General features: G+C 45.4%; 1 protein-coding gene and 1 long non-coding RNA gene across 3 annotated transcripts in view; one reads left to right on the forward strand and one right to left on the reverse strand.

Annotated features, from left to right (window-relative positions):
- The window catches only part of TMC2 (transmembrane channel like 2), a 107,008-nt gene extending 102,436 nt beyond the window's left edge, over nt 1–4,572 (forward strand). Inside the window, exon 20 of one of the 2 annotated variants that reach the window (NM_080751.3) lies at nt 2,126–4,572. In NM_080751.3, coding sequence (NP_542789.2) covers nt 2,126–2,343 — 218 coding nt within the window. In that variant the 3' untranslated portion in view covers nt 2,344–4,572. The remainder of the gene's footprint in view (nt 1–2,125) is intronic. The other variant, XM_005260660.5, reaches the window with a different exon arrangement.
- The window catches only part of LOC105372505 (uncharacterized), a 38,419-nt gene that overhangs the window by 24,963 nt on the left and 1,217 nt on the right, over nt 1–12,239 (reverse strand). The window contains exon 2 of the long non-coding RNA XR_007067502.1: nt 4,720–5,373. This is a non-coding gene — a long non-coding RNA (uncharacterized LOC105372505). The remainder of the gene's footprint in view (nt 1–4,719; nt 5,374–12,239) is intronic.

The raw sequence follows: 12,239 nt of genomic DNA on the forward strand, positions 1-12,239 counted from the left end.
CCTCAGCCTCCTGAGTAGCTGGGATTACAGGTGCCCACCACCATGCCTGGCTAATTTTTTGTACTTTTAGTAGAGACAGGGTTTCACCATGTTGGCCAGGCCGTTCTTGAACTCCTGACCTCGTGATCCGCCCGCCTCGGCCTCCCAAAGTGCTGGGATGACAGGCCTGAGCCACCGCGTCCGGCCTAGAAAAAATATTTGTAAATTGAGTGTAACCTAAGTGCGCAGTGTTTATAAAGTCTGCAGTAGTGACAGTGGTGTCCTAGGCTTTCACATTCACTCATCACCCACTCACTGACTCACCCAGAGCAACTTCCAGTCCTGCAAGCTCCACTCATGGTCAGTGCCCTAGACAGGTTTACCATTTGTCATCTTTCATATACTCTACCTTTTCTATGTTTAGATACACAAATATTTACCATTATGTTCCAACTGTTTATAAAGTATTCAGTACAGTAAGTGTTGTGCAGGTTTATAATCTAGGAGCAATAGGCTGAACCATATAGCCTATGTGTATAACAGGCCATGCCGTCTAGGTTTGGGTAAGTACATTCTATGATGGTCACACAACAACAAAATCACCTAATGATGCATTTCTCAGAATGTATCCGCATCCTTAAGCAACGTGTGCTATAGTTTATATTCTCTGAAAAGAGAAGCACTGGAATATCTAGAATAATAGAGTGAGAAAAGTCAACATAAAAAGTTCCCAGGAAAGTATCTTGGGGCTATTGCTCCTCGGCCTTTTGGCTAAGATCAAGTGAAAATATCCTGGGGCTTCAAAGGGGAGTGATCATAGACCACCTCAAATTAGGAGTGAGGAAAGGTCAAGTTGAAAGAGACCATCTCTGAGATGATCCCATTTTCCAGAGATCATCTCTGTTTTAAAATTAAACAGTGTCTGCACGCAGACACTTTAGCCTTGGATGTAAGAAGTGAATGAGATGCATAAGGAATGACTGACAGTTTAGGAATTTGAACTTTATTTTTTTGAGATGGAGTCACACTCTGTCGCCCAGGCTGGAGTGCAGTGGCACGATCTCTGATCACCGCAACCTCTGCCTCCCAGGTTCAAGTGATTCTCCTGCTCAGTCTTCTGAGTGGCTGTTATTACAGGCACCTGCCACCATGCCTGGCTAATTTTTGTATTTTTAGTAGAGATGGGATTTCACCACGTTGGCCAGGCTGGTCTCAAACTCCTGACCTCAAATGATCAGCCTCAAGTGATCCGCCTCAAACGGCCTCCCAAAGTGCTGGGATTACAGGCATGAGCCACTGCACCTGGCCTGAACTTTTTTTTTATACAAGCATTCCAATTTCTTAGTAACTGGAATTTTATTCATTTTTTATTATTAAGTATTCGCTATAATAAAATGATACTAGCTGCTGCAACAAAGAGGCCCAAAATGGCTAGTGGCTCAGACACCATAAAAGTTCATTTCTCACTCAACACAAAGTCCAAACTGGGTGCTTTCACCTGACAGCCTCAAGTGCTGATATGGGGACCCTGGCTCCTTCCATCTTGGGGCTCTGCCTGCATCAAGCTAGTGCAAGGGGAAGAGCTTAGGGGACACACCTGGATGTGGTCCCATCAAAGCCTGGAACTCCAGCACAGGCCACACTCATCCACAAGGGAACCAGAGCCCATTTCTGTGTCCCAGAACAAGAGGGACTGGGTTTAGTAAAGAGCAGTCATTTTCCCTAACTTGGAGTTAGAGGAGGGGAAGGAAACAAGTTAATGAAGGATTGGAAAGTAGATCTGATTCCAAACAATTCCCACAGCCCCTCCCCTTCCGTCATCACTTTTGACCCCGGCAGTCACCCTGCGAGGCTGCCGTTATTCTTGTCCCAATTTTGTACTCTAGAAAACCCGGGATCAGAGAGTCTAGCCTAAGGCCAGGTTCAAAATCAAGTTCTCTAGCCAGAAGACCATACTCCTCCAACAGATGTGTTTATGCAAAAGCCAGGCCAAGGTGACCCCGAGACAGCTGAGTGCAATCCGACAGCTCTCACATCACCAAATAGGACTAAAACCTACACACACCGCAGGGCGACTCCAGAGAGCTCCAATCCAACCTGTACAAAATCTCCCACTTCCTCTTTCTTGTCTTGGTTCGTTTTCCAGAGACCACTCCTCCCTCTGCCAGCCAAAGCCAGGCCATGGACAAGAAGGCGCAGGGCCCTGGGACCTCCAATTCTGCCAGCAGGACCACACTGCCTGCCTCTGGACACCTTCCTATATCTCGGCCCCCTGGAATCGGACCAGATTCTGGCCACGCCCCATCTCAGACTCATCCGTGGAGGTCAGCCTCTGGAAAGAGTGCTCAGAGACCTCCCCACTGATGGCTAGGACTCCAGGGAGCCTCGACCCTAGGGCTGATCCTCAAGTACCCCAGTTTCACACATACCAAACCAAGGTTCTCTCCCCTCTTTCCTCTCACATACATGCTCTGTCTCCTCTCTTGGAATGCATGAACTTTGATTCCTTCAGGCCCTTGTCAGCTACCGAAGGAGGAAGACAGTGGCTTCACCTGTCCTTTAGGGAAGCTGGAGCCATCTCTGCACTAACTGCCCTCCCAAATATCTTGGTTCAGACAGCTCTGAACCCCACGCTCACAGTGGTCGACCTTGCCTCCCGATTTTCGGAGTTGGGGAAGGGCCATGACCACCCTCGTAGACTTTTTCCATGGGATACAGTTTAGGACACGGGTTTCTGCCAGCTTCCCTAACCAGGAGGGGGATGGAGAAGGGCCTACATTTCTCAATCCAGAGGAAGTGAGCTGGTTTAAATGAAAGGTCCAGGCCAGGCACAGTGGCTCACACCTGTAGTCCCAGCACTTTGGGAGACCAAGGTGGGTGGATCGCTTGAGCCCAGGAGTTCAAGACCAGCCCGGGCAATGTGGCGAAACCCCATCCCTACAAAAAAATTAGCTAGGCATGGTGGTATGCACCTGTAATCCCAGCTACTTGGGAGGCTGAGGCAGAAGGATCACTTGAGCCCAGGAGGCAGAGGTTGCAGTTAGCTAAGATCACGTCACTGCACTCCAGTCTGGGCAACAGAGTGAGACGCTGTCTTAACAACAACAAGTCTGGCCAGGAGTGGTGGCTCACACCTGTAATCCCAACACTTTAAGAGGCTGAAGTGGGAGGCCAGGGGTTTCAGATGAGCCTGAGCAACAGAGCAAGACCCTTGTCTCTACAAATAGATAAATGAATCAAAGTAAATGAAAGTGAATGAAAATAAAGGTAAATGGACCAAAGACCAGTCATGGAGAGTGGGGATTGGTGGGAAGACTGGTGATACCCCAGTACCCAGCCCAAGGGAAGCTTACACCATGGAGCACAAAACAGGGAGTGAAAACAGTGAATCACAGGAGCGAGTGAGTTGCCCAGTGCCTCTTATCTTGGAAGGAAACCTGCCTTACCCAGGGCAGAAAAATCTTTTTCATGCACCAAATTCTAAAAGGAATTTGATAACATGATTATTGTACAAAAGACCTTGAAGATGGTTTCTCTGAAGAGTTTTGCAAAAGGTACAATGCAGAGCGTTGTCTCTGGGGATTCTATGTTCACTTAGTGTCATATCATGGTTCTATGCAGAATATTTCTTAGGGGGAAGAAGCCAGGGGCCAGACCATTAAGAAGGCCTTGATGGCAAGGGCAGAGCCTAGGTAGGGTGGGAGTCACAGTCCAGGACTCTGCAACAGCCCAGCTATCTTGCACACAGCTCCTTCCTTTCCTCCACTCTGTGCTCCCAGACCCAGGTAAGCAGTGAGGCCTCAGAGGGCCCCAGAGACCCTCTCACCCATGTCTCTGAGTGTTCTAAAGAGAGTCAGCCACCTTAACCTCATCAACTGTTACAGCCACCACCCAACCAGGCCCCCAGGGGTTCTCAGGAGAATCCCCCAGACTCAGAAAGTCAGGCAAAGCCCTGGCAGAGAGACGAAGATTTTTACAGCAATTTCATAAGCTGTACAATTAAAATAATTTCTAACTTCCCTCCCAAATCCCTTCCCTTCTCAATCCAGCACCAAAACTTCACATATATATACAAACTGCAATGGAATAATAGGGACATGTGACCAGGAGAAACAGGATAAATTATTTCACACCAATCTCTCCTGGCAAGGCTAACGAAGATGTTGCAATGCCTGATTTCCATGGAACCCAGGTCCAAGCCCCAAATCCAAAACTGCCTGTGTGTCATATGCCTTCCCCCAAGCTAACCTACCTGAAACCTCAGTACAGGGATCCTGGCACTGTAACCCAACCAATCAGGACCAGAAGGCCCAAAGATGGCCACCACACCAACACCTGGCCTTCTGCATCAGAATGCCAGGCCCTGAGGCAGGGAACACTCTGCCTGCCTGAGCCATTGGTCCCCTAGTGATTACTGTCAGGCCTCCACTGGTTACTAATACACATAAATACCCACCACAAACACAAACCAACCATCCTGATCTGATGAAGTGTAATTTTATGTGACGGAATGTATATGTCATCTAATGCTGCATAACAAATTATTCCCAAAACATAACAGCCTAAAACAATAAACAATTATGTATTATTGTATGTAGTTTCTGTTCTGTGGGTTATAAATTTGGGAGTGGCTTAACTAGGCAGATGTGGTTCCGGATATTTCAGTCAAATTCTCAGCTAGGGCTACAATTATTGGAAGGTCTGACTGGGACTGAAAGATCTGCTCTCAACATGGCTCACACGTGACTGTTGGCAGGAGGCTTCTGTTCCTTGCTGGCTATTGATAGGGGACCTTGGTTACTCTCCATGTAGGCCTCTCCATAGAGCTGCTTGGGTGTCCTCACAACATGGCTGCTGGTTTCCCCCAGAGCAAGTGATCTGAGAGGGAGAGCAAGGAGGAAGCCACAATGCCTATTATGACCTAGTCTCAGAAGTCACACTATCAGTTCCACCACTTTTACTCATAGAACTGAGTCACTAAGTCTAGCTCACACTGGAAGGGAAGGGATTTAGGCTTCACTTCTTGAAGGGAGGGTTACCAAAGAATTTGTGGACATATTTTAACAGAAAATTTTCTAATTCAAATAATTACAAGACCTCTATCAAGACAACTCTGGCCAGGCGTGGTGGCTCATGCCTGTAATCCCAGCACTTTGGGAGGCCGAGGTGGGTGGATCACTTGAGGTCAGAAGTTTGAGACCAGCCTGGCCAACATGGTGAAACCTCGTCTCTACTAAAAATACAAAAATTAACCAGGTGTGGTGGTGCGCTTCTGTAATCCCAGCTACTTGGGAGGCTGAGGCAGGAGAATCGCTTGAACCCAGGAGGCGGAGGTTGCAGTGAGCCGAGATTGTACCACTGTACTCCAGCTTGGGTGACAGAGCAAGACTCCGTCTGAAAAGAAAAGAAAAAAAAGAAAGAAGAAAATTAACCATTTATCCAGAGAAATATAACTGGTGTCCTGCTGATATTACCCTAGTTTGGCTGCGCATTCCTAACTGGAGAGAAATGGAGCAGATGCTGGATTTTATCTGTTGGAAGCTATTTTTGTAGGCTGATCCTTTCACTTCTAATAACTTCAACTTCCATTTCTATTTCCTAAGAGCTCCATAGTACACAGAATCACATAAGTAGGAAGACACTTTAGATGAAGAAGATCAAAGGGGATACCTGGTCTCCCACTGATTTGCACACTCGCAGAAACTAAGGGGAGGGGCTGATGCACCAGCCAGTAAGGTGATCTGGGCAGGTTACCAATAGCACTCACTATGGTGGTAACGCTCAGCTCAGTAAAGTCACTTCAGACGTGCTCTGAAGTGGGTGGGTAGAGACCCACCCAAAGCTGGAGCACCAAGTTCCTCATGCTCAATAATGGACAATAAAAAATAAACCCGCCATGCAGAAAGAGACATGTATTTCTCTTGACCTTGGCAGAAAGTAGAGGAGAAAAAGTCTCCATTGAGAAGTTCTAGCCACAAGGCAGCTCTCACAGAGAGGCTCTAAATTCATATGCTACAGTTGACCCTTGAACAACACTGGGTCTAGGAGTGCTGACCCCCCTGCAGTCAAAAACCCATGTATAGCTTTTGACTTCCCCAGAAGTTAACTAATGGTAGTCTGCTGTTGAATGGAAGTTTTACTGATAACATAAAGTCAGTTAACACAAATTTTATATGTTACATGTATTAATACTGTATTCTTGCAATAGAATAAGCTAGCTAGGAAAAAATGTTATTAAGAAGATCATGAAGAGGAGAAAATATATTTAATATTCATCAAGCAAAAGTGGATCATCGTAAGTCTTCATCCTTGTCATCTTCATGCTGAGTAGGCTGAGGAGGAGGAGGAGGAGGAAGAAAAGGGGTCGGTCTTGCTGTCTTAGGGGTGGCAGAGATGGAAGAAAATCACATATAAGTGGATCTGTGAAGTTCAAACCCATGTTGTTCAAGGGTCAACTGTATCTGTATGTTCCAAAAAACTCAAATGAAAATTTTAATTTATTTTTTTCAAGACTTTCAGGCCAGGCGTGATGGCTCACACCTGTAATCCCAGCACTTTGGAAGGCCAAGACGGGTGGATCACAAGGTCAAGAGGCCGAGACCATCCTGTCCAACATGGTGAAACCCCGTCTCTACCAAAAATTCAAAAATCAGCTGGGCATGTTGGCTCATGCCTGTAATCCCAGCCACTCGAGAGGCTGAGGCAGGAGAATCGCTTGAACCCGGGAGGCGGAGGTTGTGGTGAGCCGAGATTGTACCATTGCACTCCAGTCTGGGCAACAAGAGCAAAACCCCATCTCAGAAAAGAAAAAAAAAAGTGGCATTAGGTTGATAGTGCCTCCAAAACAGGAAGAAAAAAGGCAAATAAACAAAAATAGCACAACAAATAAAATATAAAGCACATAAGACGAAAGAAATAAACCAAAATATATCAGGAATCAAAATAAATGCAAACGGACTAAACTTCTAGATAGAAGGCAAAGACTATCTGATGGAGATTTTAAAATCCTATAAGCTGTTCCCAAGAGATGACTTTAAAACTAAGGATAGAGGCCAGGCATGGTGGCTCATGCCTGTAATCCTAGCATTTTGGAGGCTGAGGCAAGTGGATTGCTTGAGCCCAGGAGTTCGAGACCAGCCTGGGCAAAATGGTGATACCCCATTTCTACAAAAAATACAAAAATTAGCCAGTGCATGCCTGTAGTTCCAACTACTCGGAAGGCTGAGATGGAAAGGATCGCTTGAGCCCAGGAGTCAGAGGTTGCAGTGAGCCGAGACCACACCACTGCACTACAGCCTGGGTGACAAAGTGAGGGACCCTGTCTCAAAAACAAAAATAAGATAGGAACTTTATCCCTTTTGATTCCTAGGGAATAAAAACTGAAGTATAATTTTCAATGGCAAAATCACCAGGTGTGTGAGTACCATCAAATATTCTAAGCAGGTTTGTTTATAGAGTGTGAGGATTGCTATTAAAGACAACTGTCTGCAGTGTTGTGCCAGATACTTTATCTTTCAATATAGTATTAGCTTGAAAAACATGAAGAAAGGCCCAAGGTCATAGTTGGGGTAGATGTGGTATATAGAGCATACAGATAACTCTATCACTGAACCGCGTCTGGAAAATGGGCTATATAAAACCAACCTCCAAATTTGTCTGTGAAGATTCAACAAGTTGATGGAAGTAAGACTGTAATGTGCCAAGCATTATGCTAAGTACTCAATAAATAACAGATATCATCACAGGCATGGATAAGATCTAACATCCTTGGGCTCAGGGGATAAACACAACAGTATCTTGTGCTCTATAATCCTAATCAATGGCCAGGCTTCAGAAGCTGCCAGGTCATCACTGCCAAAAAAACACAAGGAATGCTGGGCTAAACCACCTTCCCAAGGTACTTTTCATTCTCCTGTGTCTTTATAAAGAAATGCTGCATATACATGTAACTCACTGCCAAAGAATATTGTAGGGTTTCTTTCCACTTTTGAGAAAAGAGCCCAGGAATTGCTAGCAAGCCTTTTAAATTTTATGAGAATTTTCTCACTCACAAAAGGAGTATAAAGTGCCGCCCTCTTGTGGTAGTTTCATGAAATTTCCTTTCCCGAAGCTCTCCCAAGGCACTGAATTTATTTTATTTATTTATTTATTTATTTATTTATTTATTTATTTATTTTTGAGATGGAATCTCGCTGTCGCCTAGGCTGGAGTGCAGTGGAGCGATCTTGGCTCACTGCAGCCTCCGACTTCCGGGTTCAAGCGATTCTCCTGCCTCAGCCTCCCAAGTACCTGGGATTATAGGTGCCCACCACCGCGCCCAGCTCATTTTTGTATTTTTAGTAGAGATGGGGTTTCACCATGTTGGCTAGGCTGGTCTCGAACTCCTGACCTCAAGTGATCCACCCACCTCGGCCTCCCAAAGTGCTGGGATTACAGGCGTGAGCCACTGTGCATGGCCTGGCACTGAAACTGAAATAGCACATTCCACTTCCATAGGTCCCCATTAGTGTTGCCAGAGTAAAAACCTTGGGCTAATGGACACCAAAATGACACAGTTAGCCATAGGCTGGGCTAAATGAAAAAGGTCAGATGATATAGTATATGGTTCTTCCCAATGGGTGAACAGTCTTATGGACAGAGAAAAAGAAATAGGCCCCACCTGCCACCTGGCTTTAATGTGGAACCTGGAGCACATCTGGGAAACTCATGGCTCCCACTCAGACCTGCTGTCCCTGCAGGACATTTGCTCAGTGGGAGCCCTGTGAGCAATTTGTCCTCCATATCACCTCCAAATTAATCTCCAAACACTGCTTAATGGAAAAGCAAGAGTCTCATCAGACCAAAACCACTCATCCTGACTTTCATTCAAGGTTTCTTACATTCTAGATCCTTCAGTCTTTTGTCCAACTACTGACCAGTTTGCATTTTACACCTCTAGCAGGTTCTTCTCTTGTTTCTGGCTTTTGCTTCCACTCTCTTTCCATCCTCCATCTCTAAATGACCTACACACTCTTCTATGAATAGCTAAATCCCTTCTTGCCATGAAGTCTACCTCAGGAACACTGGGCCAAATTGTCTTCCTGTCAGCTTGCATACAACTGCATCTTAGCACCTGATTATATTCAGTCTCCCAGGATTGCAAAGTCTCTGAAGTCAGGGGTCACAGGTTAGTACAAGTTGAGTATCCCTTATCCAAAATGCTTGCAACCAGAAGTGTTTTGGATTTCAAATTCTTTTTCAGATTTTAGAATATTTGCATAATACTTACCAGGTTGAGCATCCCTAATTCGAAAATCCAAAATCTAGAACATATAAGGAGCTCAAACAACTCTTTAAGGAAAAAACATAATAATCCAATTTAAAAATAGGCAAAAGATCTGAATAGACATTTCTCAAAATAAGATATACAGGCCAGGCATGGTGGCTCATGCCTGTAATCCCATCACTTTAGGAGGCCGCGGCAGGCAGATCACCTGAGGTCAGGAGTTTGAGACCAGGTTGGCCAACATGGTAAACCCCGTCTCTACTAAAAATACAAAAATCAGCAGGGAGCGCTGGCTCACACTTTGGGAGGCTGAGGCAGGCAGATCACAAGGTCAGGAGTTTGAGACCAGCCTGGCCAACATGGTGAAACCTCTCTCTACTAAAAATGCAAAAATTAGCCAGACGTGGTGGCTCACGCCTGTAATCCCAACACTTAGGGAGGCCAAGGCGGGCGGATCACAAGGTCAGGAGATTGAGACCATCCTGGCTAACACGGAGAAACCCCATCTCTACTAAAAATACAAAAAATTAGCCGGATGCGGTGGCGGTCGCCTGTAGTCTCAGCTACTCGGGAGGCTGAGGCAGGAGAATGGCGTGAACCTGGGAGGCGGAGCTTGCAGTGAGCCAAGATTGCGCCACTGCACTCCAGCCTGGGCGACAGGGCGAGACTCCGTCTCAAATAATAATAATAATAATAATAATAATAATAATAATAATAATAAAATAAAATAAAATAAAATAAAAATACAAAAATTAGCCAGGTGTGGTGCCAGACGCCTGTAATCCCAGCTACTCAGAAGGCTGAACCAGGAAGTGGAGCTTGCAGTGAGCCGAGATCACGCCACTGCACTCCAGCCTGGGCAACAGAGCGAGACTCCATCTCAAAAAAAAAAAGAAAAGAAAACGTGGTATGTATACACAATGGAGTACTATTCAGCCATAAAAAATAAGATCCTGGCCAGGCACAGTGGCTCACACCTGTAATCCCGATACTTTGAGAGACCGAGGCAGGTGGATCACCTGAGGTCAGGAGTTCGAGACCAGCCTGGCCAACATGGTAAAACCCCGTCTCTACCAATAATACAAAAATTAGCTGGGTGTGGTGGCACACACCTGTAATCCCAGCATTTGGGGAGGCAGAGGAGAGCAGGATAGCTCAAGCCCAGGAGTTTGAGATCAGCCTGGGCAACATGGCAAAACCCTATCTCTACAAAAAAATTAGTCAGGCATGGGGGTGTACACCAGTAGTCCCAGCTACTTGGGAGGCTGAGGCAGGATGATCACTTGAGCCCAGGAAATCAAGGTTGCAATGAGCAAAGATTGTGCCACTGCATTCCAACCTGGGCTACAGGAGACCCTGTCCCAAAAAAGAAAAAAATGAGGTTTCAGTAGCTTCTATGCAAGGTGATAACTGCAGAGAACTGAGACTCAACTGAAAATAGGTGATAAAACATTTTGTTGTGCTATTTATTAATTAAAGGACAAAAGAGCAAGATGAAAGACCACTAATATTTTTTGAGCTCCCACTACATGCCAGGTACACCATTGTCACACCTGGCCCACAGGAGATCTTCAATAAATGTTTGTTAAAGGGATGAATGAAACCCCAACCTTCATTCTGCAAAGGAAATGAAAGCTCAGGAAGATTCAGTGATTAAGATCACATTGTAAGTACTGGCAGAGCTGGGGCTTGAACCCACGTGAGCTGACCGATTCAAATTTACTGCTGCTTAACAACTCACCCTTACATTTAGTGGCTGAAAACCGCAATGTACTATTTGTCACAATCAGGGTAGACAAGATGCAGATGGTGGTTCTGCTGGTCTTGTTTGGGGCCTTACATGGCTGCACTGAGATGGTGACAGGGGCTGGGACACACAGGATGGCTTCACCCACACGTCTATCTTGGCCATTTGTGGAAACTAACTACCATAGGTGGTATTTCATGACCCTGTAAGCACCCACAAATTGCACCTGGTTGGATATTCTGCCTTAGAAAGATCATTCTGGCAGTAGAAAGTGCCTTGAAGGGGAAACCAAAGGTTTTGTAAAAAGTCTACTTTGGTGGTGAAGACCTGAGCCTAGACAGGAGCAGTGCACCCAGCAAACAGTCCAAGCGGAAGGCAAAGATGGTCTACTCCACCACAGGTTGCAGAGATGCCCCCTGGATAACTGGATAACAGTGTCAAGGATAACAGGAGTCCTGTGTTATCCCACTAGAGTCAGACTACAAGTATCAGGGTGAGATATTTTATTGAAGGGATGGAGATGAGAAAACCGAAGGAAACCTTTTAATGTTCATACCACATCCATATCTGATCACAAGCATTGGTTATCTCACCAGCAGAAGCACTTTTCTTCAGCCATCTCTGTAAGTCAGCAAACTACTTCATGACAGCTCCTTTGTAACCAGAGGACCCAAATTTTTCCAGAGTACGACTGGTTACCTTTTGGCTCATTGATTGACCCTCAGGTTTTTTATATTCTGATTTAACACACAAAAGTGTGTTCATATAGTTACATATATATGTATATATGAAAAATATTTGTGTACATATTTCTATATATGTATGTAGAGCTGAGACAAAAGTTTTACAATGAACAGCACCTTACTCTAAGCAACACACTCTTATTTCTATTCGCTTTAATCCTTTTTCTTTTTTTTTTTTTTTTTTTTTTTTTTGACAGAGCCTTGCTCTGTTGCCCAGGCTAGAGTGCAGCCTCTGCCTCCCGGGTTCAAGCGATTCTCCTTCCTCAGCCTCCCGAGTAGCTGGGATTACAGACATGCTCCACCACGTCCAGCTAATTTTTTTATTTTTTGGTAGAGACGGGGTTTCACCATGTTGGCCAGGCTGGTCTCGAACTCCTGATCTTAAGTGATCCGCCTGCCTCGGCCTCCTAAAGTGCTGGATTATAGCCCACCCAATCCTATTTTTTTAAATGCTGTCCATTAATGCATTCTGACTTCTTGCTTGAAAACCCCTGGTTTAGTGGAT

The sequence above is a fragment of the Homo sapiens genome, chromosome 20 (genome assembly GCF_000001405.40).
Source record: "Homo sapiens chromosome 20, GRCh38.p14 Primary Assembly".
In the NCBI taxonomy this organism is placed as follows: domain Eukaryota; kingdom Metazoa; phylum Chordata; class Mammalia; order Primates; family Hominidae; genus Homo; species Homo sapiens.